At 49.7% G+C, this 27,053-nt stretch overlaps 1 protein-coding gene and 1 long non-coding RNA gene across 9 annotated transcripts in view, besides 5 other annotated features; both read right to left on the reverse strand.

Moving 5' to 3' along the window:
* The window catches only part of PLEKHA6 (pleckstrin homology domain containing A6), a 159,316-nt gene extending 137,750 nt beyond the window's left edge, over positions 1-21,566 (reverse strand). For 6 of the 8 annotated variants that reach the window (XM_047449464.1, XM_047449463.1, XM_047449459.1 and 3 more), the window contains exons 1-3: positions 20,981-21,566; positions 14,928-15,004; positions 11,197-11,254 (exon numbers count right to left, since the gene is read on the reverse strand). In XM_047449464.1, the coding sequence (XP_047305420.1) occupies positions 11,197-11,254; positions 14,928-15,004; positions 20,981-21,063 (218 nt within the window). In that variant the 5' untranslated portion in view covers positions 21,064-21,566. Of the gene's footprint in view, positions 1-3,091; positions 3,328-11,196; positions 11,255-14,927; positions 15,005-20,980 lie in introns of those variants that run through there. The other 2 variants (NM_014935.5, XM_006711221.4) reach the window with 1 other exon arrangement.
* Positions 610-1,537: an enhancer, noted in NCBI's record as "H3K27ac-H3K4me1 hESC enhancer chr1:204326340-204327267 (GRCh37/hg19 assembly coordinates)". NCBI's record gives its function as "activates a minimal SCP1, AML or CMV promoter by ChIP-STARR-seq in naive H9 embryonic stem cells {active_cell/tissue: H9 hESC(naive)}" and the evidence as "EXISTENCE:reporter gene assay evidence [ECO:0000049][PMID:30033119]".
* Positions 1,538-2,464: an enhancer, noted in NCBI's record as "H3K27ac-H3K4me1 hESC enhancer chr1:204327268-204328194 (GRCh37/hg19 assembly coordinates)". NCBI's record gives its function as "activates a minimal SCP1, AML or CMV promoter by ChIP-STARR-seq in primed H9 embryonic stem cells {active_cell/tissue: H9 hESC(primed)}" and the evidence as "EXISTENCE:reporter gene assay evidence [ECO:0000049][PMID:30033119]".
* Positions 2,580-3,215: an enhancer, noted in NCBI's record as "H3K4me1 hESC enhancer chr1:204328310-204328945 (GRCh37/hg19 assembly coordinates)". NCBI's record gives its function as "activates a minimal SCP1, AML or CMV promoter by ChIP-STARR-seq in primed H9 embryonic stem cells {active_cell/tissue: H9 hESC(primed)}" and the evidence as "EXISTENCE:reporter gene assay evidence [ECO:0000049][PMID:30033119]".
* Positions 6,203-6,756: an enhancer, noted in NCBI's record as "H3K4me1 hESC enhancer chr1:204331933-204332486 (GRCh37/hg19 assembly coordinates)". NCBI's record gives its function as "activates a minimal SCP1, AML or CMV promoter by ChIP-STARR-seq in primed H9 embryonic stem cells {active_cell/tissue: H9 hESC(primed)}" and the evidence as "EXISTENCE:reporter gene assay evidence [ECO:0000049][PMID:30033119]".
* On the reverse strand, positions 11,828-13,117 carry LINC00628 (long intergenic non-protein coding RNA 628). Its single transcript, NR_027022.1, has one exon. It is a non-coding gene; the product is annotated as a long intergenic non-protein coding RNA 628 (long non-coding RNA).
* Positions 25,874-25,923: an enhancer, noted in NCBI's record as "active region_2360". NCBI's record gives its function as "activates an Ori minimal core promoter by ATAC-STARR-seq in GM12878 lymphoblastoid cells {active_cell/tissue: GM12878}" and the evidence as "EXISTENCE:reporter gene assay evidence [ECO:0000049][PMID:35858748]".

Below are 27,053 nucleotides of genomic sequence, written 5' to 3' on the forward strand. Positions count from 1 at the left end.
TGTTAAAGAATATTTAATAATATGAAAAAATGCTTTCTGTTTAAGTGACAATAATACACATCTGGGCCAAAATTTTAATGATATATATGTATTGTGATAATCTAGACATACACTCATGCATGAATTCATAAAAGTACAAGTATACCAAAATTAAAATTATATATCAAACCTATGGGTAATTCTTAACTTTGCTTTAGGTTTTTCTACATTTTTAAATGACAATGTATTACTTTTACACTCACAGAATAGTAATTCTTTTAATGTACACCCTTCATCACATTAATTCTATGCCTTGGAATTTATCCTAAGTCACCCAAAACACAGAAAGAGCCTTATGAACAAAAATGTTCCTCTTGTGCTATCTGTAAAAGGAAAATAAGGTAACAACCTAAATGTCCAATATAGAAATGATCATGTAAAATATATTACATCCACACACGGACTATTATATACTATTTTAATCAAAAGAAAACTATTTTTATGACCACGTAAAAGAGAGAGGTGACTTGTTCTGCACAGCTTCAAAGAATCAGAACCAGAGGGTGGAACTTAGAAGTCGGCAGATTTTGATTCAACATAGAAGAATGTTCCAGCCACAGAGGAAGCTGCCTTGTGAGGTAATGAGCTCCCTGTCACTGAAATTATCCAAGTGAGGCTGCTGCTTCTGTCAGGGAGGCTGAGGAAGGCTCATCTGGATGTGGAGGGAGTCTGGACTAGATAGTCTCTGAGGGGCGTCTGAAGGTTGTAGGTGCTGAGCAGGAGCCCCCTGAACAGACAGATGGTCAAGGGAAGGCTTCCACTCAGCCTACCCTCAACTTCTTTTCCTTCTGCTCCCAGTTACTCTAAATGTCTCCCAAAATATAGTCTTTTTTTCCTCTCTGAATGTGCTTTAAGTGTTTGGAGACTGGCCTGCTCAAGTCCCCTCATTAAGCCCTGGCTTCCTGAGCCCGTTCGCCTCACCCCAGAGCTCAGGGGAGTGCGAATCCTGCAGCTCTTTTGTGAGGCACAGCTCCAACCTTCCTCTGGGGGGCCCCATGGGTGCGCCAAGACCAGTGCCAATGACCTCATCAAATTCACAACAGGCAGTGAGGAAGACGATGAGGAAATTGGCTCGGAGAACGGAACCGCAGCCTGTTCAGCACCAGTTGACACCACGCTCCCATCTGCTGTTGCGGCTTCTTCACTCTGGCCTAGGCCAGTCCCCTGGGCCAAGAGAGCTCGCTCTATGAGCCCGAGGCTGCAGGCTGGGTCTGGGCGAGGTGGGGGCTCTGATGTCAGCCCGGGAGCCAAGGTGGCTGCCTCCCTCACTGACTGAGGGATCAGTAATTATTTCATTTACAAGCAGAAATAATCCAACTCAATAATCCAGGCAGACACATTCAAAGTAATTATCTGTGTAAGGCGTCCTGCACCATCACCTTCCTAGGAAGGAGGAAAAGAAGCCTAGCCCAGCAAAAAAAAAGCAGGTGGGGACCCCCATTGTCTGCAGCCTGTGTGCAGCAGCCTGCCAGGATTAATTACACACCAGTGCTAACACATTTATCACCTCGCCGCTGATTGGAAAACCAATGACTTTTAATAATTCATATCTGTGGCTCGGCACTCTGTGCCCTTGTGCAAAGACACAGAAACTCGCTTGTTTCCATAAGGAAAGCCCAGTGGCAGTGCCAGGAGGGGTGCCTTCAGCCCCTCCTGCCACCCCAACCTGGAGACAGGCCAGAGCCTAGCCGCTCCCACCTCCCCTCCACCAGCAGGGTCTGCTCATGTCCTGCTGAAGCTAAAATGCAGCTGCTCGGGGGTGAAAGCTGGCGACTGAACCGTCCTAGCCACAGGAGCCCTCCTCAGTTTCATACTCTTCCAGGGTGGCCTGGAAAACAGGATTTGGGAGATTTGTAGGGCAAGTGCCCGCAGTGCCCCCGCACCTGCCCAGACAGTGGGCTCAGGCAGATACCTGCCAGCCAGGACCCTGCCCCACCATGCAGGAGACCCTCAGCAGAGTGCACCACTCAAGTGATCAGATTGAGGGTAAAGGGTCTACAGGGCTTTGGGAAGAGCCTCCAATCCCTGAAGGCTGCAACCTCCTCTGACACCAGCTCTGAGCTCCAGCCTCCTCCCCACCACCTTCCACCCTCCTGCAGCTCTCCCTCCCCACCCCTGTGCCCCGGGGATGGCTCTCCCTCTATCCCGGTTCTCCATCTCTGCTCTCCCAGGCTCCACAGCCCCCTTCCCTGCCCTGGCTGGCCTGTTGTCTCAAAGAGCATTTCCCAGGAGCCTCTTCTCCCTTCTTCTCCCTTCTCCCCCACCCCCGCCACTTTCCTGTCTCGCCCCGCTTCCCTCCCCTTCCACTGTAGCCCTCCTTACCCTTCTCTGGCCAGTCCCCCAACTGTCCTCCTTTCCTCAGACTCCTCACACAATACCTCGAGGCTCTTAGCTGGCTGCAGCCTGGTCCCATCATTATAAATGCCATCCCCTCATTCCCTGCCCTCCTCTACCACATACCAGGCTCCAGCTCCTTCAAGAGCTCCCCACTAAATCTGAGACCCCCAGAGCTCAGATGCGTCCTAGGAATTGGAATCCAAGAGCCTCTGTCACCCTTCGACCCAACCTCTGACTCATAAGAATGATACACACCCTGACCCCTCCCCACGCTGAGGAAGGTGAGTCCCTGGGGCTGACCTGAGCCTGACCCTGGACCCCCTCCCTCTCTCCTTCCTGCTGGCAAGATTAAAGGGAGGGTGGGCTGGCCTCTCTGTGCTAGCTTGCGTGGGGGACCCCTGCTGGACCCTAGGAAGCTGCCAGCCCCAACGCTGCCTTCATCCAGGAGATGCAATTCAAATGTAATCAATTTAAACAGCATCAGCCCTGACAGGGGACTCTGGAGGTGGGGGTGGGGGCACAGGGAGGGCTATAATTAGCATTCTCAGCATCCATGATCCCCAAGTAAGGCTGCCAAGGATGAGAGATGGGGAAGCCAGTGCTCCGCAGTGCAAGCAGCCCAGGCTCACGCGGCAGACAGGCAGCTGCCAGCCCTGACCAGAGCCCAGCCTTCCTCCTCCCACCTCATCTATGTGATGCATGAAAACAGACTCACCGGCTTCTGAGGTGTGATCCCCGCGCTGGAAAGCTCTAACTCTGCGAGCCCCAAGGCACCCCTCCCCCCAGCTCAGGCCAGCTGGGGTCCTCCTCCCCCGCCCCTGGGGCCCCCTTCTGCAGAGCGGGGCTCCGGATCTAATCTGATCTAATCAGTCATCTCTCCGGCTGGCAGGTCCCTGGCGCAGGGAGAGGATGCTGTTGTGGTTACTGCAGGATCCAGCATCTTTCCCAGGCAGAGGCAGCTGGGCATGCTCCATCGGCTCCCCCGGGGATTTCAGGGCCACGTGACTCTCCCTCCCCAAGCTGTCACTTAGGATCAGGAGTAAATAGTCCCCGAAAAGGTTTAACTCCATCCACACCAGCGACAAGCTGCTAACCATCCACGCAGCCTGCCTGCCCGGGAGAGGATGGGGTGGCTCAGCACAGCCTCCTGGGCCTTCCACCACCAGGAGAAGGCTGCCCCCCAAAGGGGAGCAGGGCCACCGTCTGGGTAAGCTGCATTTTTAGAGTCCCCCACAAGAGACTGCAGGGAGCCAGAAACTGCCCAGGGTCTTAGAATCATGTGTGGGGCCTCACCCAGCCAGCCTGGTGATCACCTTTCACCTCTGTGGCTGTCTACTCCAGAGAGGGGCACGTCTCTAGGTGTCAAGAGGGCTTGGCTGGGGCCCTGGGGCCTCCCCATCCCCCGCCCCCCCCCCAATATGGTGAATTTAGAGAAATAACATTTGGAGAGGGTTGGGGGCCACTATGAGATGCCAGGATGAGTGGGGTGTGAGTGGGTTGTGGAGCCACTGCCCCCACACCAACCAGCCAGGCTCCTCCCAGGCCCTGGGAGGGAAGTCTGTGCTCCTGTTCCTTCCGTTGCACATTCCTTTACAGATAAGGGCTTCAGTTGGTAAAAATGATATAGGTACTCAGATCACACTAAGACAGACCCACTTGTATTGGAGTCGAGAGGCTTAATTTTTTAATCAAGTTGTTCTAATAATAAACAAAAAATGCAATTATCAGGTGAGTGGGGCCTTGCAGAAACCCTTTCTCTAGCTCCTGCCCAAATCGGTCTTGATAACCCTGAGCAAGGATGCTAGCCAAGCTACGGGGTACCTGGGTTCTGTATTATTCAGGATCAGAGGCAGAAGGAAGGACTTCAGACAATAGGGTCGTAGCTCTGTTTCTGCTTAGACAAAGATTGCTTTCTGCCTCAGTTTCCCTTTATCCACATCTCTCTCAGTTTTCCTCTATCCACGGATTCTCTGTGACAATGGGCAAGTGTAATAAAAACACTGATTTCATAAACAGGATCAGAAAGATGGAAAAAACCAAAAGATTCCCACCTCAACCTCCAGGCAGGCTCGCTGGTCTCAGTCCCATCTGCCCCTTAAACCTGGAAACTGGGGACTGAACCAGATGAGCTTCTGGAGTCACTTCTGAATAGAGAAATATGTCAAGAAGCAGGAGCTAGAGAAAGGGTGTCTGCAAGGCCCCACTCACCTGGTGATTGCATTTTTTGTTTATTATTAGAACAACTTGATCAAAAAATTAAGCCTCTTGACTCCAATACAAGTGGGTCTCTCTTAGTGTGATCTGAGTACATATATCATTTTTACCAACTGAAGCCCTTATCTGTAAAGGAATGTGCAACGGAAGGAACAGGAGCACAGACTTCCCTCCCAGGGCCTGGGAGGAACCTGGCTGGTTGGTGTGAAGGCTGTGGCTCCACACCCCACTCACACACACCACAGCATTGGAGGAAGACAGGGACCTAGAGAGCTACTGAAGGGACTGTCTTTCCCACCCCAGGGCAGGCCAGGCTGGAGCCAGGAATCTGGGGTTAGGGCAGCAGGCGCAGCTCAGCAGCACTCTTGGGGAGGGGGACTCTTGGTCACCTCCCACTGTTCCCCTGCCCAGCTGAGATGTCAGGCCAGCCCTGCATTGGCTATAGGAAAGCTGCTCTGCTGAAGGGGCAGACAAGTTGTGGATGAGGGCCCAGTGCCAGGCAGGACCGATCAAGCCCAACTCACCTGCCCTGGCTCTCCAGGACTTGGCAAGGCTGCCAGGTGCAGGCAGGGGGAGAGTCTGCTTTCAGTCAGCCAAGATGAGGGGCTCTTGGGGGTCTCTGACCCTGCGGAGCCAGTGGAGGAAAGGAGTGGAGGCAAGAGATTACAGCATCCCAGAGGGAGGCCGGGGAGGGGGACAGAGACCCCAGCCCAAGCCCCCACAATCCTCAGGCAGCTGGAAAAGGCAGGCGACCAACAGATGGGCCTGCTGGGCGGGTTTCCTCTCTGGCAGGCAGAGGGCAAGGGCCGCAGACGAGTCCCACGGATCCTTCGAGAAGCCTGAGCCAGACATGTGAATGTTTCTGGGGGATCTGAGTAGCTTCAGGGGCATGAGAAGCCAAAGGGAGGGTCGGTGTGGGGTGCATGCCTTTAGCTGGGGGACCAAGGCGGAAGAGATGTGGTAGCATGAAGATCTTAGAGCTACAGCAAGGACAGGTGAGGCGGATGGACCAGAGATAATAAATTCCCTTTGCCAAATCTAAGTTCTTGCTCTGCGAGCCCAGAAGAGGAGAAGCAAGCCTCACCTAAACAACTCCAATGGGGAAGGCGTGAGGTGGCGTGAGGGAGGGAGGATTCCACAGAAAGCACCTCTGCGATCCCGTCTCTCCTCTGCTCTACAATCACTGGTCCCCATTGCTCAGAGGATCAAGTCCAAGCTTCCCAGGCACCTACTCATGGTCTCCAAACACACGGGTCCTCCCCACCTTTCTGGTGCCATCCCCACTCCCTACCATACAGTCTTGGTGGCCACTAACTTGACTGGCTCACTGCCCATTCAGTGGAACTGCATCCACATGGGTCTCTCTTCCTCGCAGAACATGCCAACTAGGGGCAGCAAAGGGAGCTCCGTGGGATGAACTAGCTCACTGCAGCCTCCACCTCTACCTGGGCTTTAGCAATCCTCCCTCCTCAGCCTCCCAAGTAGCTGGTACTGCAGGTACACACCACCACATGCAGCTAATTTTTTAGTTTGTTTTACAGACAGAGTCTTGCTATGTTGCCCAGATTGGTCTCCATCTCCCAGGCTCAAGCAATCCTCCTGCCTCAGCCTACTGAGTTGCTGGGACTTACAGGTGTGAGCCACCATGCCTGGCTAACGATAACCTGTGTGACTTGGAAGCCCAGCTCCATCCCTGAGTAACTCACTGACTGAACAAATTACTTGACTATCCAGCCTGTTTTCCTCACCTGCAAATGGGCTTCTTTGAAGCCCAGCACATTCACTACCTTTTCTCCTCGGCCGCCTCCTTCTTTACTGTTCTGGGGTGTTATCTGCCTTTCTAAGCCTAGAGCTAGTGGGGTCACTGTACCAGAACTGCTGCCCCAGCACTCCTGTGCTCTGTCCTGTCTGCCTTCTGGAGACAACAGAACTGCTTTTGGTGGCTCCCCCGCCCCTCCCAGGGCCCCTCCTCCGGGGTCTCGCAGTTCGGGTTGGGGTCTGTACTGATGAATCCCAGAGACCCAGCACAGCCTTGGAGGCTCACCGGGGTCTCACTGCCCAGCCTGGAAGCACGCGGGGCAGAGACCTGGGCTTCTGATCTCTGCCTCCCTGCAACCCCTCAAGAAGCGCTGAGCAGCCCGTAGGCGCGCCAGGGCCGTGGGTGGACTGCCTGCCTGCACATTCTCGCACCTTCCTGGAGGAAGCTTCCAGAACAGAACAAGGAAGACCAACGGCTGGGTGGGGTTCCCTCGGTGGAGGAGCCGCAGGGGCCCAGCTTGGGAACCGGGTTATCAGGGGTGTGGCTCTGCAGAAAGCGTCCTGCCACGTCTCCCTCCCTGTCAACCTTGGGGAAGGAGAGAGGCACCCTTGGGGACAGAACTGGCCAGTTTCACCGGCGGCGGCTTCCGCAGGAACGCGGAGGAGGGAGACAAGGGGGCGGGGGAACACTTCCTGTTGGGCAGGAATGGGTGTTACATAGCTAGATCTTTAAGCATCAGAAAGACAGCTACCAGACCCACTATGGCTGGGAGGTGGCAGGGGATGGGAAAGGTGGCCCTGTCACCTCCGAGAAGGCGCCTTCAGCCTGGGGAGACGCTGTGAGCAAACCCCCTGAAAGCCTTGTGGGGCCATCATGTGTGCTCTGGAGCCCTCTTGTGGATTCTTGCGGTAAGTGCATACAGGCTTGCAGTGCGTTTCTCCCACGTTTTAACCTTTCGCTTGTTCTCTCCTCCTCCCACCACTCTTCCCAGTAAATGACACCTTCAAAACCACACGCACACTCGAGCAAAACGTCTGTTGTGGATACCATGAGAGTCACTTCCTAAATACCCTGAAAGAAAGAGCTTTTTGACACACAATTAACACATTTGTCTGCTCCTGGGCAAATGTCAATATTTGCTCATTGAAATTTCCCTCCCTCATCCACACTAAAAGAAACAAAATAACTCCTCCGGTTGTCTGGCTCTTATTATTACTTGGAATCCATGTCTGAAGTCGTTTGAGTTTCTAACTCATCCACCAACCAAATGTCATAAACCTTTGTGGGAACTGTGAAAATAGGAACGAACGGTGAGCCAGTCGTTCATTCATTCACTCACTCATTCAGCAAGAACTTACTGAGCACTTCGTTTGTCCAAGCAAGGTGCCAAGGATGCTGGGAAGCAGCCGTGCCATCATGCTAAGAGCAAAGCCTGTGAAATCAGGCACACATGAGGCCGCCTTCCCGCTTGCTTTCTATTAATACAAGCTTTGTGACATTGAGTAATACATACGAAGAACCAGTTTTCCCATTATTTGCTAAAAGCGGGATGATAGAACCTCCTCATAAAGGTGCGGTGAGGAATAAATGAGATAATGTCATAAAGCACTTAGCTCCTAGAGTGGCGGCTGCTGCTATGATATACAGAATGACCACCAGGTCTGGAAATGTATGTGAACACAGAATTCATGGCTGGTTGATAATTAAACAATATTGCCTGTGTCTCCGGACTTTACGACCCCCCTGTGTTGCCCCTGCCCTTGATGAGTTTTCAGTCTAGGCTACTGGTTCTCGAAGTGTGGGCCCCAGAGCAGCCACAGCAGCATAACCTGAGAATGTGTTGGAAGTGCAAATTCTAGACCCTCTGAATCCGAAACTCTAGGGGTAGGGCCCAGCCATCTGTGCTCCAACAAACCCTCCAGTGATTGTGATACACGCTCCAGTTGGAGAGTTACTAATCTAGTGGAAAATGACACAAGTATAAGCAAATAACTACCATACACGGACACATCCCTGAAGAAGTGACATCATGGGCAGGGCTTGAAGGAAGAACAAGTGTTCTCAGGTGGGCATGAGCCACATGAGGAGAGATTGGCACCTACAAAGCCCCGGAAGCATGAAAGGGAAGCGAATGTTGAGGGAACCACAAGTGATTTGGCAGGGCTAGAGGAGAGGGCTAAAGAGCCAGGTGGGGAGTGTGGGAGGTGAGGCTGGGAAGGGGGGCGGGAGCGAGACTATGATGCCCTTTACGTGCCCAGATAGGGAATTTAGATTTTATCCTGTAAGTGACGGGTAACATGCAAAGTTTTTAATGGAGAATAATATGACCAAATTTGAATTCTAGAAAGAAAGCACTCTTGCAGCATTATGGCCTGGAGGCAGGAAGATCAGTTGGAAAGCTTCTACAATAATGGAAGTGAGAGTCCATGTGGGCCTGAACTCAGGCCATGGCTATGGAGATATCGAGAAGTGGGTGGGTTGAGAGATATTTGGGAGGAGAATTGACAGGACCCATGGGGGAGGCATGAGAGCGGGAAAGGTTGAGGGTATCTCCGAGGGCTCTGCTTTGCTGGTATTTCTAGAAAAGATGGAACCGGCACAGAGAAGCAATGACTTCAAGTCTGGACACAATGAATTGAGGGAGCTCAGAAGAAAGCTCTGGGCTGGTAGCTGAAGCAGAAATCAATTATGCCTGTGTTGTTTGTCTCCCAATGTTTATCATGCATGCATTCATTTCAGGAAATACTGGATTGCTATCATGCACCAGAAAGGTTCTAGGAGGGAGTGAAAAACACAATAGCCAGAATCTGCTCCCAGGACTTACACAGCAGTGGGGGGACCAGAAATACATAACCAAACAGATACATAAACAAACGTGTTTCAGGTAGTGCCAGGTGCTGTGAAGAAAAGTAAGAGTAAGAGTGTGGAGGGGTGGGGGAATTCAGGCAGAGCAGTCAGGCATGGCCTCTCTGAGGAGGTGACATGGGCTAATCGAGAAGTCGGAACCAGGTGTGTGGAAATGGGAGGACAGTGCTCCCAGGCAGGGGGAACAGCAAGCGCCAAGGCTCTGAGGTGGGAATGGGTTTGACATGATGGTGGGAAGGAAAGATGGCAGCACAGCCAGCCAGTCATGGGACACGAGGTCAGAGAGGTGGACAGGTACGTTTCTAGGGACTGGTGAGATGCCGTAATACATGTGAAAGTGTTTAGTGAACAATCTCTAGAGCCATGTACCAAAAGGAATATGAAGATGGTATCTGCAAGAGGGAGAAAAGAAGAAACAATTCACAATTCTTAACTGAAGCAAGAAGCATTTGGGTCCAAACAGGAAAAATTCAGTCTATAACTGTCATGTGATATTAGAATAATTTCCAGAACAGATACTTTGAAAGGAAGACGAAGAAGGAGGAAGAGCAGGAAGAAGAGGAGAAAGAGGAGGAGGAGAAGGAGGAGGAACAAAAGAAAAAGAAAAAGAAGAAAAGAAAGAAAAGAAAAATTTGCTTTCGCTTTAAGAATATGGTTAACAGGCCCAGGCATGGTGGCTCACGCCTGTAATCCCAGCACTTTGGGAGGCCAAGGTGGATGGATCCCTGGAGGCCAGGTGTTCGAGACCAGCCTGGCCAACATGACAAAACCCCATCTTGACCAAAAATACAAAAATTAGCCAGGCATGGTGGTGGGCACCTGTAGTCCCAGCTACTCAGGAGGCAGAGGCACGAGAATCTCTTGAACCCCGGAGATGGAAATTGCAGTGAACTGAGATCGCACCACTGCACTCCAGCCTGGGTGACAGAGTGAGACCCTATCTTAAAAAAAAGAAAAAATAGGTTAGCGGCTAAGCTGATGTAGGTGGTAGATGGTGGCAGATCTAAGTGCTGGCAGATCTTGGCGGTGGGGGATTGGAAACGTAACCCCTCCTAGTACAGATGGATGAGGATTTCAAAGCAGAGAGGGACGGAAAGGGGATGAGACAAGGGTCCTCCCTGCCCTGGCTAGACTGGGGCTCCCTCTGGTGGTGCCATTGCCCCAGGAGGCTGGGCAGAGGCGCTTCACCATCCCTGCAGAATCTGAGGCCAGACCAGAAGGTGAGGCCCACAGGCCTGGGCACGCTGAGCCTCACCCTTGCGAATGAAACCAGATGGAGAGACCCAGGCCAAGGCAGAGAGAAGTGAGTTCAACTGGGTAGCTCATGCACCACCCCAGCCCAAAGAGCTCTGTCTTCTGCTTCCAAGATTAAGTCCAGGGCAACTTCCCAAGGCACACCTTTAGCCACGGCAGGAAATAAGGGCTCCCCAGCCCACAGAGGGGCCTGACCAACTCCTAGGAGGAAAATAGGGCATCTCCGCCCACACAAACCACCCCCAGAATCGCAGATGCCCCCATCCACAAGAGCAAGAGTGACCGGAGCTGGCCTTGCCACCACCAGTCTGATGTCCTCCTTCGTACACCCCACGGACACCTTCCCTTCCCACTGCCTCCACATCCTGCCCCGCGGCTGCGTCTCCTGCCTCTGAACCTCTGCCTGTGTGTCTAGAACAGCCTCGTTCCTCTACTTTGTTGAGCCATCTCCTTCCCACCGGTACAGCCCAGCCCAACACTCCACCCACCCCACCCCAGGAAACTTACCAGGACTGACACTGGTTACTGCCCAGGCCAACATAAACAGACGCACTGATACATACGTTCCCATCTCTATCTCAGCTCTCAGGAGCCTCGGCACCTCCTAGCCAATCACAGACCCAGCAGTGCCTTCAGTGAAAAACCAGACACTTTAACCATCTCTCCTCCTGACAAGGATGAAAGTAGAACCAACAGCGACATCAGAAAGGAAACTGCGTCTTACTCACTTGATGAAATACACAGCTCCTTCCTGGGTGGAATCCACTTCCCAGCCCTTGGGCAAACCTGTGAGGAAGCAAAATCACCAGAATGAGATACCCTGGGATCAACCTCTCTTCCTCTCTTCCCACAAACCCCACCTGCACTTAGGAGGGATGGGTGCCTGGACAGTCAGGAAAATCCAAATATAAGCCAGCCGAGTTCAAACCAACCATTCCATCCTTTTTTGTCCGTGATTTCTAGCAGTGAGATTCCCAGCAAATAATGAGAGATATGGGAGTGGACGGGATGTCCTCCGTCAATGAGCGGTGAAGTGACCGAATGAATCATAGCCTGGCAGGATGCACTTATTCATTCAACAAATCTTTACTGAGCATCTACGATGCGCCAGGCCCTGTGCCAGCCCCTGGATACAACAGTGAACACACAGATGGTTCCCCTGGAAGTGTCCTCAGGATCATCTAACCAGAAGGGCAGGTCACTTGCCCCAGGAACTCATCACAGATCATTAACACCTAAGATCCGAGTAAGACTCAAGTCTCCAAATACCAGGCCAGCGTTATGGCCATCAGGCTGTGCTCTTTCTGGACAGGAAACCAAGGACCTAGGAAATCAGCCCCAGGAAAATGAAGAGACTTGCAATTTTTAAAATCTTTAATAGTGTCTCTGAAAAAAAAAAATTATCCATGGAAATGCTCAGAGGAGAATCACAGAATCTCAGTGTGAGCAAGGAAGTTGACAGTGGCCAGGAGGCACCCAGGCAGTCCCCACAGGTGGCCATAGCACCTCCATCTCCAAAGATCACTCATAGGCACTATCTCATCCTGCTCGCTCTCCCAAAACAGCCACCCTGGGCAGCATCCCGCCTCCCCGGCAAACAGGATTCCTTCACCCCATGGCTGAGGAGGAGGAGCCTTTTGAGAGACCCAAGAGAGTCCACTGTCAGAGGTGGGGACAGTCAGGGAGCTGGCTGAGAACATTCCTTTTGGGAGTGCGAGCCTCCTGGCTGACATATTGGAAAACAGGTGGGGATTCTCTTGATGGACAGTGACTGCCACCTTTCTGGTCAGTCCACACGCCTGCCTTGTGTATGAAGTCTTACGAAGCATAGCTATTCACTGCTGGTCTGACTGTCTCCTGCCATGTTAGCAGCTGCTTTGAGGCACCAGCTGCTGGGGAGCAGTGCCTGGGTTCTGCAGAGTGGCAGGTCCAGTTTCTAATCATTCATTTTATTCACCTGTATTTATCAAGGGTCTATATTTCCACAGTTGCTGCTGATGGTGATGCTGCTGTTTCAGCAAAACAGGGCAGCCAGCAAGCCCAGCTCCTGCCAGGACTTGGCCCACCTATCACACCAGCTACCACTTAGCGAGTACTTCCTTCCTCTAAGCTATGCACTTTGCCTCTGCTAGTGCATTTAATCTGCATAGCAACATTATACAATAGGTGTCCTCCGAAACATTTTCGCCGATAACAGATGAGGAAACAGAGGCCCAGACAGGTTCATCAACTGGCTCAAGGTCACACAGGAAGTGTCTGGGCCGGGATGTGAGTGCTGCTGTGCTGTCTCCAAAGCCCACACTCTTTCCTCTGTGCCGCTCCATAAATGCTACTTGTTCCCCTCTGTCTCTGTGGGAGGACGTTGCCATTCAGGAGGGCGTGGGTTGGCAGTCTCCCCAAGTAGAGGGATCCCCATTGGGTCAGAATCATAAATAATTCTGCCACTGTGATGTGCCTGGGAAAGAGGCCAGTATGGATTATGTCCCCTGCCTTTTTCTAGCAACTTCCCTCCACACTGCCCTCTCTGCCTGGGCAACACCAAGAGTGCTTATATTCCCATCCAGGCGGAGTGCCCGCTGAGGCAGCTGCCCTCGCGGCAAGCTCCGGGGGCATCTTAACCCCTTCCCAGCCTTAGACAACCAGTTGGCTGCAGCCAAAAATGAAAGCATTGGCTCACAGGCTGGTATTCATCTTCCACTCCTACCTAGGATGATAATGAGGTGGAAGGACTCAACCTGTAAACAGCTGAAACACTGAAGGTGACACCACCATCAACCTGGTAGAAGAAAACAGCCCTGGCCTTAGAGTCAGGAGGCCTCGCTGCAAGTTGGAAATACAATGGTGACAATAACAGCAGCAGCCACCTCCATTTTGGGAGCCACCTCTCTGATGTAATGCTACTACTTTTTTGAGGTTCATAATCCTCTCCCCATTATAAAGATGAAGAAGCTAAGTCCAGGAAGAATTAAACCCCTAGTGCAAGAGCACACTGGAAGCAATAGAACCAAGATTGAGCTCAGATCTCTCTGCCTCCAAAATGTATGCCTTTAACCATGACACCACTTTGCTTATTAGTCAAATGGCCTTGAGCCAGGTACTTCCTCTCTGTTCTTCAATGTTTCTACCATAAAATGAAGAGTCGAACTCCATGATCCCTGAAGTCTCTTCCAGAAATGATCCCAGCTCAGAAGCTAAAAAGAAAAGGACTCTGAACAAGCCAAAGGCTTCATCCTGTGTGTCCAGCAGTGCCAGCTGTGCCCATGATTGACGGAGGCCTTGGAACCAGGCGCCTAGTGTCCAGTCCGGTGAAGCGCTGGAAGGCGAGAGGGGGAAGGGCTGGAAGGCGGGAAGGGGAGAGATATCTCCCCGCACTGTGACCCACACCCCCTCTTACTGGCCCGTGGTGGCGTCATGAGGAGGATGAATGGCTGTTCAGTTAAAGTACCTAGGCCTTGTGATTCTTGATGTCTCTACCTCAACAACTTAGACTGAAGTCTTTTTCCTTGGTTGTTTCTTCATTTCTGACCTGTTTGTGTCCCACCTTTCCCACTAGCCCTGAGGGCTACCAGTGATGTTTTCTCCATAATCAGCAATGAATGTCAGCCTTGTCCCCTTTCATGTTTCTCCTCAGTGGGAGAAACAGGCGCTCCCACTAGCTACATGGGGCCATTTACATTTGAATTAATTAGGATTAAAAATCCATCTGGGCACAGTGGCTCACACCTATAATCCCAGCACTTTGGGAAGTCGAGGTGGGTGGATCACCTGAGGTCAGGAGTTTGAGACCAGCCTGGCCAACATGGCAAAACCCCATCTCTACTAACAATACAAAAATTAGCTGGGTGTGGTGGCACACACATGTAATCCCAGCTATTTGGGAGGCTGAGGCACGAGAATCTCTTGAACCCGGGAGGCAGAGGTTGCAGTGAGCCGAGATTGTGCCACTGCACTCCAGCCTGTGCGACAGAGTAAGACTCTGCCTCAAAAAAAAAAAAAAAAAAAAAAAATTCAGGGCCTCAGTGATGCTTGTAACATTTCAGTTGTTCATTGCCACATGTGGCTCATGGCAATTGTATTGGGCAGAGCAGATAGAGAACCCTTCCATCACGACATAAAAGTTCTAGAGCGCAGCACTGGGGGCTGGCTTCTGCCAGTTCAAGAGCCCTTGAGACAGGGGATTTTCTGACTGGGCAGAGGGATGAAAGATGAGTAAAAATCTTTGTCCTCAAAGGCCCATCTCAGATACTAATTTTGGAGGTGGAAGCTTAGAGAGACACTGAGGTGAGCTCCAACAAGCCTGCAATCTCCCCCAGATGGCAGGCAGTCCAAATGCTAAGCTGAGTCCATCCATGGAGAAAGGAAAAAGTCAGAAGCAAAGTTGGGGCACAGGATTCCTGCTGCCACCTCAAGCTATTACATCCTCCTCAATTGCAAAGGCAGGGACAGACAGGTTCCTTACCTGGGCAGGAGGTGTGTCCACTCTGGATGGGTGACTTTGTTCCAGGGTGCACCCAGCTGGTTGACTTTTCCTCATCACTGCAGAAAGATCAATAAGAAAGTGTCAGCTACAAGAGAGGCTTTTCTGAGCAGGACACTCATCTCCAGATTCACATTAACACCGACTATTCAATCCCAGACACATGAGATGAGAGCATCCACAAGGCTGTTCATTCATTCACATTCACAGAGAATTATTTACTAAGCACACTCTGAGGATTTCAGGATGAATAATATCGAATCCCTAACCTCAAAGAATCTACATCCCACTGGGAAACAAATGCATAAAAAGATAGCTGCAATACAATATGATAGGCACTGTAATCCCTATTGTAACTATGTGTAGAAAGTGTGATACCATCGCAAAGAAACAAGGGCTACCTGGCATGAGGTTAAGGAAGGGGAAGCATGAAGGCTTCACGGCAGAGGCAATGTTAGAGATGATTGCTAAAGTCAGGTGGGAAAAACAAGGAAGGTCCTTAACTGGCAGCTTCTCGAATGGATAAGAAAAGGAGGAGACTGCATGAACCCATAGTCCTTATGTGTCAACAATGCTACATATTTTTCATTCACGACATTCCCTCACACTGGAAATTTTACAGATTATGAATCGAGGTTCAGAGAAGTTAAGAAATTTGGCCAAAGTCACAACCTAGATCTGTCCCTAGATTCAGACCTAGATTCAGACCTAGATCTGTCCCCGACAAAACTCTTTCTGATACCTCACACCCAGCAAGGCAGGCTCCCCAGCAACACAGACCCTCTGGGCTCTAGATTGGATGGCAGATGAAGCCATCATCATTTCTCAATCCCCACCGACCAAGTGACACAGACTTCCAGAGCCAGATGTGATCCAGCAAGAAGCATCTGACTGTCTTGGCTACTTCAGGTATGTGGAGGAAGGGACTCTCAGGTCACGTGGATCACCCAGGCTTTAGGATGGCATCTTGGAGCCCAGGACAAGACTCTACTCAATGTCTTTAAGGTATAATGGATGTAGAATAAACTCCACTAAGAAAGACTCCATTAAACTTTTATTAAAATGAGATATCGAATAAACGCCCTAAAAAATTTACAATTTAATAGTTTTGACTTATCTATACACCTGTGAAACTGCCACCGAAATCAAGATAATGAATTCCCAAACTTTCTGTGTGACCCTTTGTAATTCCTCCTTCCCACCCCCAACCCCAAGCTCTTTCTATCCTCACCCCTCTCCCCAGCAACTGATTTGTTTTCTGTTACCATAGATTAGTTGCATTTTCCAGAGTTTTATATAAAAGGAATCATACAATCATACAATACAGTCATGCAATCATACAATCATACATCTTTCCCTGAAAAACTTTTTTTTTTTTTTTTGACGGTCTCACTCTGCCATCCAGACTGGAGTGCAGTGGCACAATCATAGCTCATTTGTAGCCTCAAACTTCTGGGCTCAAGCAATCCTCCCACCTCAGCCCCCTGAGTGCTAGGACTACAGGCATGTACCACCATGTCTGGCTATATTTTTTCTTTCTTTTTTTTTTTTTTTTTTTTTGAGATAGAGTATCACTCCGTCACCCAGGCTGGAGTGTGCAGTGGCACGATCTTGCCTCACTGAAATCTCTGCCTGGGTTCAAGCAATCCTCCCACCTCAGCCACCCAAGTAGCTAGAGTTACAGGCATGCAACACCACGCCTGGCTAATTTTTCGTGTATTTTCAGTAGAGACGGAGTTTCACCATGTTGGCCAGGCTGATCTCAAACTCCTGACCTCAAGTGCCTCAGCCTCCCAAAGTGCTGGGATTACAGGCGTGAGCCACTGCACCTGGTCTCTGGCTATTTTTTTTTTGCAGAGACAAGGTCTTACTATGTTGCCCAGGTTGGTTACAAACTCCTGACCTCAAGTGATCCTCCTGCCTTGGCCTCCCAAAGCACTGGGATTACAGTGTGAACCACAGCACCCAGCTGTCTGACTTTCGTGCTTTTTTCCATATTGTGGTGTGTGGTCGTTTGATTCCATTTAATTGCTGAATAGTATTCCATTGTAGGAAACACCACAGTGTGTTCATTCATTCACCTGTTGCTGAACTTACGGGTTGTTTTCAGTTCTGGGCCATTACAAAGAAAGCTACTATGAACATTTGTGTACTAGTGTTGGTGTGAAAATATGCTTTTTTTTCTATTGACTCCACTCATTTTCTCTAAGGTTGGACACCTGCTACAGGAAGAGATCTCCCAGCTAACCTACCCCTCTGATAAGCAGAGAAAAAACAAAGTCACTGTTCTAGTGACTTCTGAGCTCAGGCACCATTGAAGAAGACTCTAACATACTGGGTCTCTGGTCTTGGCTTTGGTCCTGGGAGGCAGTGGAAGAGGAAGCCAATAAAAAGGAAGGGTTTGGAGAGAAAGTCAGCCAGTGCCCTCACCTCCATTACATCTGTCCTGAGATTTTTCAGCCCCTGACTCTCCCCTCCTTGCACACTGTCCGCCCCCTCAGATTCCCATCTATCTCTACCCCACTGGATATCACAGACAACCCTATCACACCCTTGACATTCCACCACAGCCCTCAACTTCCTCTTCCCCTTGGCTTGGCACCATCTTGCACCCTTGTCAGCACCACTGTCTGGGACAACGCAGTCACAGGCTGTCTCCACTCCAGCACCGGGCTGATGGGGGAACTGGGCCTCGAAGAACTGGGGTCACTGCAAATCCAGTCTCCCAGCTTAGCTGAGCCCTGAGTGCCACCTAGAATCTTCTTCAAGGTCCCCAGTCAGTTGCCATCTGCAGAGTGCTCCAAGCCTTTCCGGCTAACCTCAGGTCCCAGGGCTGCCTCTGCTACCTAGCCCCTCTCCGGCACAGAGGATCTTATGTCTTAATGAAGAAAAAATAGAAAAGATTAGGTGGGAGCTTTCCCAGTATGCCCAATCACCTCACCACCAAAACTTACCCAGATTCTCACCCATCCTTTAATACTTGTCTTCCTCTGGAGAAGAGGTAGCCCTCTCTCCCCTTTAAGGCTAATCTCTCTGCCTGGGTTATCGTCCCCCTCCTCTTCCATCTTTTATAGAACCTCCTTCTGTTGAGCATCCCAGCCTTGCATCTTCACCTCCTCTCTCTTTATAGGGTCCATCCCTTTATCCTCCTCCTCTGTCTGTGTCTTCTATAGTCTAAACACGCTGCCTCCCACTCAATGCCATGTCCCCTGGCAGCTTCATGTCTCGCACTCCTCATTCCTGACCAAACATTCAACAGTAGTCACTCCTAGCTTTCCCCACTTTCTGGCCTTTCATTCACCAATCCACTGCAACCTGGTTTCTGTTCCCAGCTCTCTCCTGAAACCACTTTCCTAGACGTCATTAGAGGCCTCCCCCTCTCCTAAATCCACTAGGCATTTTTTAGCCTTTGGCCCGTTTGGCTTTTCTGCTGCATCCAATACTGTTGAATTCCTTCCTTTTTTCTTCTTAACATCCCTCTTCCTTGCCTTCTGGGGTGGCATTCTACCCTGGTCCTGGTGCTGCCCACCTCTGCAACCTCTCGGTCTTACTCTCCAGCCTGGCCTCTGTTCCTCTGTCCCTTCCTTGACACTGGTGCTGCCTGGGGTATACTCCTGTCTTTTCCCTCGCACTCTTCTGGGTCGTTCTACCCCCACACGATGACCCTTTTCCAGCCCAGGCCTCTCTCTTCAAACTCTATCCTGTATATCCAGTTGTCTGTTAGACAGCATCTCCTGAATGTCCCCCGGGAACCTCAACTGCAGTGTTTCCCCACTAACCCTGTACTCCCCCTAATATGCACTCCCCTTGCCATACTCCTGACCTCTGTCAACTCAAGCTGGAAATTCTAAGCTTCACCTCTGATTCCTCCCTTTGTCTCCCCTCCCCAGAATTCAAGCATTAGAAGAATATTCCTGATTTGGTTCCTGAAGATTTCTCCCATCTCTCCCTCCCCTTCACTTCTATTCTCACCATTTTAATTCGGGCCCCATCAGCTGTCTCCTGGACTTTTGCAATTGTTTCCTAACTGCTTTCCATACCTTAAGTTTCTCCTCCTGCCTCTCGCTCAGCCTCAAATCATCGCTCAGGAAGCTGCCAGAGACAAGGCTCTAAACACAGACTCGATGATGTCAAGTCCCAGTTTGAAATCTCCTTTGGCTTCCCATCACCTATAGGATGGAGTCCCGACCCCTTAGCTTAGCACATAAGGGCTCTCTCAAGCTGCCTCTTCCTACTTTTTCTCCTGGTCCTCTACAGTATTTCAGCAGCTCCACTCCGTCTCCACTGAACCTCTCCGAGTGCTCTAGGTTACCTGTTCCTCAGCCCCCACTGGTGCCTTTATTTCCCCAAGCCTCTACTTCCAAGGCTTCTTTCACTCTTGTCTCTCCTCCAGAATCAGCTCAAATGCTTCCTCCTCTGGGAAGCCCTCACTGAACTCCCTGGAGAGCATTAGTTCTTTCCTTCCCATAGCATCATGCAAATGCCTCAAGAATGTACCATATTATTTCCTAAGTATTGATTTATGTATTCTCCCTGTTAACTTAAAGTAAAAACCTATATCTTATTGTTTTTATCTCCAGTGCCTAGCACTGCAGCAAAGAGTGGATGCCCAATAAATGTTTGTAGAATGAAAGAGGAAAAGAATCTGGATGGCAAGTAAGAGATCAGGAAGAAAGAAGAGAATGAACCACTTCATCAGTATACCTGAGGGGCTCATGGAAATTCACATTCTAAGACCCTACCCCAGATCCTCTGAATAGGAATCTCCTGAGGTAGGGCTCAGGAATCCACCTTCTTAATAAGTTCCTTGGGTGATTCTTATAAACTCTAATGTCTCTAGCCACTGCAGTTTTAATATTGCAGAGGTTCTGTTATTTAAGAATCTGACTTAGGGTCAAGAACTTTAATGGAGTTAATTTCTAAGATAATATAATTACAACATCAATTATGATCATGGTGGTGATAATTACAGAACAAAGGCCTAAAGCAAATGTGGAAACTTAGAAACACCAAAGAGAAACTACTGCCTGCCTGAGCCCCTGCAAAGGCAGTTTGGTACCTGGGGAAGCAGTGCACTAAGTCAGCAGATGCGGGGCTGAGTCCCAGCTCTGATTAACACGTGGTTTTCTCTTAGACCGGTACTTCAATATCTCTGGACCTCAGTTCCCCATTTGACAAATGAAGGGGTTGTTTCTAAGATTCCTTGTAGCTCCGATGTTTTTAAGTGGCTATCTTGAGGAAGGAAAAGCTCGTCAAGTGTGGGTAACAGTCCAAGACGCTGTGCTTCTAGACTTGCTATATTTCTGGAAGATGTCTATCCTGGCAAAAGATGACTATAGTAGAAGCGAGCCAAAAGACAGCCAGCAGGGCCACTTTGTTATAATGAGATTATGCCAGAGCCACTTTGGCTTATGAAATTAATATAACAGTGCTAATATATTACTGAGAGTAGCAAAGGCGCGCTCTCTCTCAAGAATGCCAAACATACAGTGGGCATCGTCCCCCTCCCTCTTGACCACAGCCCCATAAAGAAGCAGGACAGGAGAGGAGAACTGCTGTCCTGGGCACGCTGAGTCTGGGGCGAGGGTTGCCAGGAACTGAGTGGTAGAGGCAGGATCTCCTGGTATGTTGTCACTTAGCCCAAGTCTTCCCATAGGAAAGTCTCGGGGAAAATGAAAGACCTACCTCTGGCCCTTTCAGGGAAGGAGCTGAAAAAACTCCAGGCTGGGCATTGGTCTAGTCATCCTCCTGGAGGCCTCGCATGTGACCAGGGAGAGGGAGAAAGGGCAGCACTCCCCTGCCCTGCCCAGCCTTTCCAAGCTGAGGGAATGCCAAGCCTTTGCTGGACTTTGACCCATTGAGGAAAAGGCGGGAGACACATTCAAACAGGCATGGTGATAAACTTATTAGTCATGCCCGCCCTTGTAGCCACCGCTTCACCCACCTTCTCCGGCCTGCCCCCAGCCCCGCCACTTTTCAAGTTGGGCAACTTAATGGAAAAAAATGAAATAAAAAGAAGAGCGAGACCAACATACTTGATGAAGAAGATTCTCCCACCGCCGTCAACTCCGTAGGCCCACCGGCCGGGCAGGTCCAGCCAGTCAATCTCATCGGCCATCTCGGTGTCCCTGCAGCCCCTCTCGCTCTCTGCGCCCCCAGGCGCCGGCTGGGCAGGGGGCTTGGTACCCGGGAACCCCCACTTGCTGCCCCCTTCCAGAGGCCGTGGTGGGGGAGGGGGTCCGGCCGGGCTGGCGGCGTCGCTCCCGGGTCCCTGGCAGTGTGGCTGGCCTCCCCACTGAAGACGCGCTGGCCTCAAGCCGGGCGGCAGGGAGCAGGCAAGCGCTTAACCCTGGCCGGCCGGGAGCCCCAGACACCACCTGCCTCCTCGTCGACTCGGGAGCTCCTCTTCGGACCGTTTCCTGAACTTTAATGACGGGCAATTAGCGCGGTGAGTAATTACGATGCCTCTCCTGCCGGGACTGTTAACGGGCAGCGCTGGGTCTCCGTTCCTCCTGGCTCTGCTGCCCTCCAGCCTGGCGGAGCCCGGAGAGCAGAAGCTGGAGCGGGGAGGATCCCTCCCCGAAGGGAGCAGGTTGCAGTGCGAGCAGGGGTGTTGCCTCTCCGCTCCCAGCTCCGATCTTGCACTTGAACCACCGGCGGGGCCGGGGGCGGAGCCGCGCCGCCGCCTCGGAAGGTAATTCACAGCCCCGAGAACTCGCCGGCAGCGCCAAGTCCCCCAGTCCAGGCGCACCGCGCAGAGAACCAGTTTGACTAAAAGAGCTTTGAATCAGGAACCTGGTGGACATGTCCAGCCACTGAACGGAAAAGGGGAAGTGATTAAACCTGGTTCTACTTGGTGGGAGGTTAGGAGAGGAACAAAGGTCAAAGGCACGGAAGCGTGGCGGGGCTGTGAGCAGCGAGGGGCCCGGGGAGCCTCTCCTAGCTCAGATGCCAGCCTGATTAGTCGAGCTAGTCCTTACCTTTCTTTCCCAGCACCTCCTCCAAGAAGTCTGCCATGACTAAGTAGAATCACAGGGAGACCTTAGAAATACTCAGAAACCAACAGCGTTTATGTCCCTCCATTCCATTCCCCCTAACTTGCACCAGAAATGGAAAAGGAAAAAGGAAGAAAAATGGAGAGAGAAGGGAATGTGTTATGTGTACAGAATGCAGACTGCAAGCATTTCATACTGGCATACCAAAAGCAGTATTGCTGGAGCCCACAGTTCTGCTATCTCAGGGTCTATATCAAAGTTAGCCAGCTTAGGCAACATAGCAAGACCCTGTCACTACAAATAATAATAATAATTAATTAGCTGGATCTGGTGGCACGAGCCTGTAGTCCCAGCAACTCAGAACACTGTCAGGAGGATCACTTTGAGCCGGGAGGTCGAGGCTGCGGTGACCTATGATCCTGCCAGTGTACTCCAGCCTGGGCAACAGAGCGAGACCCTGTCTCAAGAAAGAAAAAATGCTGAAGTCCATTTGGCTTTCCCAGCTTACTCCGGATCTGCCACTGGGGCTCCAGTTAGGTACATACAGTTCCAATCCATGTGCCAGGCCCAGGAGAATAATTAGACGATGAGAGAGACACCTGTGTTTAAAGGGAGCAATGTGTTCCATGACAGCTGGCAATTATCTGTTGGGCAAACATACGTTTTGTGAGCATTCCAGGAGACTTGATCCCCATTCCACATAGGTAATTCCTACTCATCCTTTCAGTGTCTACCCATGTGCCACCTCCTCCAGGAAGCCATTCCTGACACTACCCCGGAGAGATTTATATGTCCATCCTCCATGTGTCATGGCACCTGATGAATAACCCTATAGTAGCACTTATCACACTGTAATGCAATCCTTGATTTAGTCATCTGTCTCCTCCATTGGACTGTGTGCTCCTTGGGGCAGGAACTCCATCTTATCCATCTTTACAGCCCTGGCAGCTGCCTGCGGCACCAATTAACAATTTTTTTTTTTTTTTTTTGAGATGGAGTCTCGCTCTATCACCCAGGCTGGAGTGCAGTGGCATGATCTCGGCTCACTGCAACCTCCACCTCCCAAGTTCAAGTGATCCTCTCACCTCAGCCTCCTGAGTAGCTGGGGCTGCAGGCACTCACTACCATGCCTGGCTAATTTTTTTTGTATTTTCAGTAGAGACGGGGTTTCACCATGTTGGCCAGACTGGTCTCAAATTCCTGACCTAAAGTGATCTGATCCACCGGCCTCAGTTTCCCAAAGTGCTGGTATAACAGGCATGAGCCACTGCGCCCAGACCAATTAACATTTGATGAATGCTTGATATGGTCATAACTGAGAACTACTCTTAACTCTAACCACAATCCCGTACTTTTGGACTTTATTTAGAGGCACTCTCAATATAACCATCAGCAACATCAGGGTGTGTGTGGGGAGATCTTCCTGGGAAAAGAAACAGCCTGTGATCCTTCTCATAGATCCCAAATTCTCAACCTGGAGGGTTTAAAGTGTATACATCTGATAGATGGTAAAGCTAGGAGATGCCTCAGAGAACATTTAGTCCAATCCTCTTGTTTTGAATATGGCAAGTGAGGAACAGAGAAGGGAAAGGGGCTGGTCAAGGTCACTGAGAAGGGTGGTGGCTGAAAAGGATCTGCCCACCAGTGTCTCAGGCCAGAGCTGTTTTCATTACATCCTTCGCACTCCAACACTGGAAATGGACTCTGCCAACATCCTGGCTGCCAGATCTAAGTTAAGTCCATTCTCCAGAAGCAGAAGACACGCAGAAACCCATGATGTCCAAATTCTTTCTCTCTTCTCAGATCCTACAAATTTCTAGTAGAGAAAGCTTCATTTGACAATGAAGCAGAGCTGCACCTGGGAAGCACAGATGAAGGTCTAGGTGCCCCTTCGTTTCTGAATTGGAGAAAGTTGGCAGATCAAGGTAGCAGACTCTGCCAGGCTGCAGTCCCCTGTCACCAGCCATATGAAACACCTGTAGGACTCACGCCACTGACAAAGCACAGAGCCACCTGCCTAGCCCCTGAGATGGCCAAGAATATAAACGGCCAGAGTTGCTGCCAAGATGCCTCAAGGGAAAATACCAGCAATCAGTGCACTCCCAGTCCAACCTGAGCAACCAGTAAGGGCAGCTGCTTGTGCTGAACGTGGGCAGAAACAGGGGACAAGATGACATATATTTGAAAACATGTATTACACTACTGTCTTCTTCGAGCGCCTCTTGATCTATTTTTCCACGAGATTTTTGTCTTGTTTAATGTCTAATGTAGCCTGGGGTTCCTGGGGACATTTACCTAGATGAGAAAAGGCCAGTGGCTCAGATTTGTAAATGTTTATTACTCATTTGAAATAAGAAATCACGTTCGAAAATATTTCCCTAACTGTGGTCTAGTCTCGCTAGTGACTTTTTGCATGCTAGTTCTTGTTTATGATTAGTTATGATTAGTATTGATACTGCTAGTAACGACATTTTAGCAAAAGAGCTAAAGACATGTAGAAAAAGAGTAGAAAACCCAAATAAAAGCAGCTATTGGTTCAACAATTACCTAGAAGAGAGAAGGAGGGTTGATAGATTAAAATGAAAATCATACATGGCTGGCAACTAAGTCAGAAATTTAGCTGTCTGATTGCTTTTCCCCCCACAGCAAATTTTTTTATCCCTTTAAAAATGTTTATTTATTTATTTATTTGCTTAAAAACAGGATCTCATTTTGTCACCCAGGCTAAGGTGGTGCAGTGGCACAATCAGAGCTCACTGTGACCTTGAACTCCTGGACTCAAGCCAGCATCCCACCTCAGCCTCCCAAAATGCTGGGATTACAGGAGTGAGCAAGTGCGCCTGGCCTCTTTCATCTCTTTAAAAGGCAACCAAGCATTTGGAAAAAATATATCAGTAATATTTATAAATTATTCTGATTCTCTATTACATTCTGATGTCTTAATCACTTCAACATTACTATTTCTGGTTTGATATCTGTGGTAGGCTGAAAAACATCTCCTCAAAAGCTATCTGCATCAAATCCCTGGAATCTATTAATGTTCCCTTATTTGGAAAAAGGTCTTTGCAGATACAATTAAGAATCTTAAGATGAGAAAATCATCCTGGATTACTGGGGTGAGCACTAAATCGAATGACAAATGTCCTCGTAAGAGACACATAAGAAATGTAATAGAAGAGGTGGAAGTCATGTGACCATGAAAACAGAGATTGGAGTGATGTGGCCCCAAGTTAGGGAATGTTGGCAATCACCAAAAGTTAGAAGAGGCAAAGAGTACATTTTCCCCTAGAGCTTCCAGAGTGCAGCCCTGCCAATACCTGGATTTCATCCTGAACTGTGAGAGTATAAATTTCTATTGTTTTAAACCACCCAATTTGTAGTAATTTGTTACAGCAGACATGAGAAATTAATACAGTACCTACAAGAAAATCACAACTCAGTGAGGGCCAGGTGTGGTGGCTCACACCTGTAATCCCAGCACTTTGGGAGGCTGAGGCAGGTGGATAACTTGAGGTTGGGAGTTCAAGACCAGCCTGACCAACATGGTGAAACCCCATCTCTACTAAAAGTACAAAAATTATTTGGTGGTGCACGCGTGTAATCCTAGCTACTCGGGAGGCTGAGGCACGAGAATAGCTTGAATCCAGGAAGTGGAGGTTGCAGTGAGCCGAGATTGCGCCACTGCACTCCAGCCTGGGTGACAAAGTGAGACTCTGTCTCAAAAAAAAAAAAAAAAACCCTCAATGAGGACTGAAATAAATGTCCATTATTTTTACCTCTCCAGCATCTACTCTCCCTTCTTCTGTTAATAGCTGCAGGTTTCCTTTTGACATCTATCTACCCTCTGCCACTCTCAGCCTGTGTGGGCTGGCCCCACCTTTACTCTCAAGCTCCATTGAGGGTTGGGCTGTGACACAGATCTGCCCAGAGATCTGACAACTCTCCATTCCCCTGGTGCAGGAAAGGACACAAGACTCAGACAAGACCAATAAGACTCTGTTTTTTAAAGATGCCAAAATTCTCGGGAAGAAGCCCTTTTCCTCTTGCATTTGAAGGTGGCATGAGTTGTGTTGCCGTTGCTGGGGTCGTCATGCGGGGGCTGCCTGAAAGTGAAACCAACACAGGAGGAAGTGAAGCCAGAAGACGGCGAGAGAATGGGTCCTCCATATATCCTGGGAGCCCTGGGATCCAGCTTGCCAGAGAGGCTCTACCCCTATATTTCCAGCTATATGTGCCAATAGACCCCTTACTTCCTTTCTAGTTGGTTTGAGCTGGGTTTCTGCCCCTAACAAATGAAAAAGTCCTGACCGATATAAAAGTCACACACAAAAAAAGGCTTTTTGTGTGTAATGGGAAAGCCAAAGAGATAATCATGTGTGTTTCTAGTGACTCACAAATAGGAGCTCTTCTGTTCTGAGAAAACCACAATTTTAGATCAAGAAAGGGTCTTAGTGATCATCTACCCCAAAAAAACACATTTTTCCCAACGAAGATACTAGAGAATTCAGGAAAGTACCCAGAGTTGTGGCAATTCCACAGTAGAGTTAAGACCAAAACTCAAATCTCCTGAAAACCTGACCAGTAGAAAGTTCACATTGAGACATTTGCTACATCATTTAAACATATTTGGCCAAGAGACTCACATAGTTACAAGAAGATTATAACAGATTCCTTTGCTCTATAAAAGAATAGCCACAACAGCAATCTGCGTTGAGGGCTGGTGTTTAATAGTTATGCTCACCTGCAGGCAAGGTCACTAGCCACTGTTGATTTTCTTCCAAGAACTAGGAAGCAAAGGAAAGGAAGGCAACAGCTATCTCTGCTGGCATTCGAGATATGGCTGTGTAAATATGCAAGGGTCCAGACAGACTAGTTGCTTAATTAAAGTCATACCTCTGTAAGGACTTGAAAGAGAAGGGTTTCATTATAAAAACTGCCATTCTAGTGCTGGCATCCAGAGGATGGCAGAATTCTGAGGTTTCCCCAAAACCAGGTATATTGAATTGCATTGGTTCCACAGATATTTATTGATACCCTCTGTGGGCAAGGACAGAATGTCCCTCCTCTCAAGGAGTTCACATTTAATAAGCATGTGGTCTCAGAAGATAAGTCT

This window comes from Homo sapiens, chromosome 1, assembly GCF_000001405.40.
Source record: "Homo sapiens chromosome 1, GRCh38.p14 Primary Assembly".
Taxonomy (NCBI): domain Eukaryota; kingdom Metazoa; phylum Chordata; class Mammalia; order Primates; family Hominidae; genus Homo; species Homo sapiens.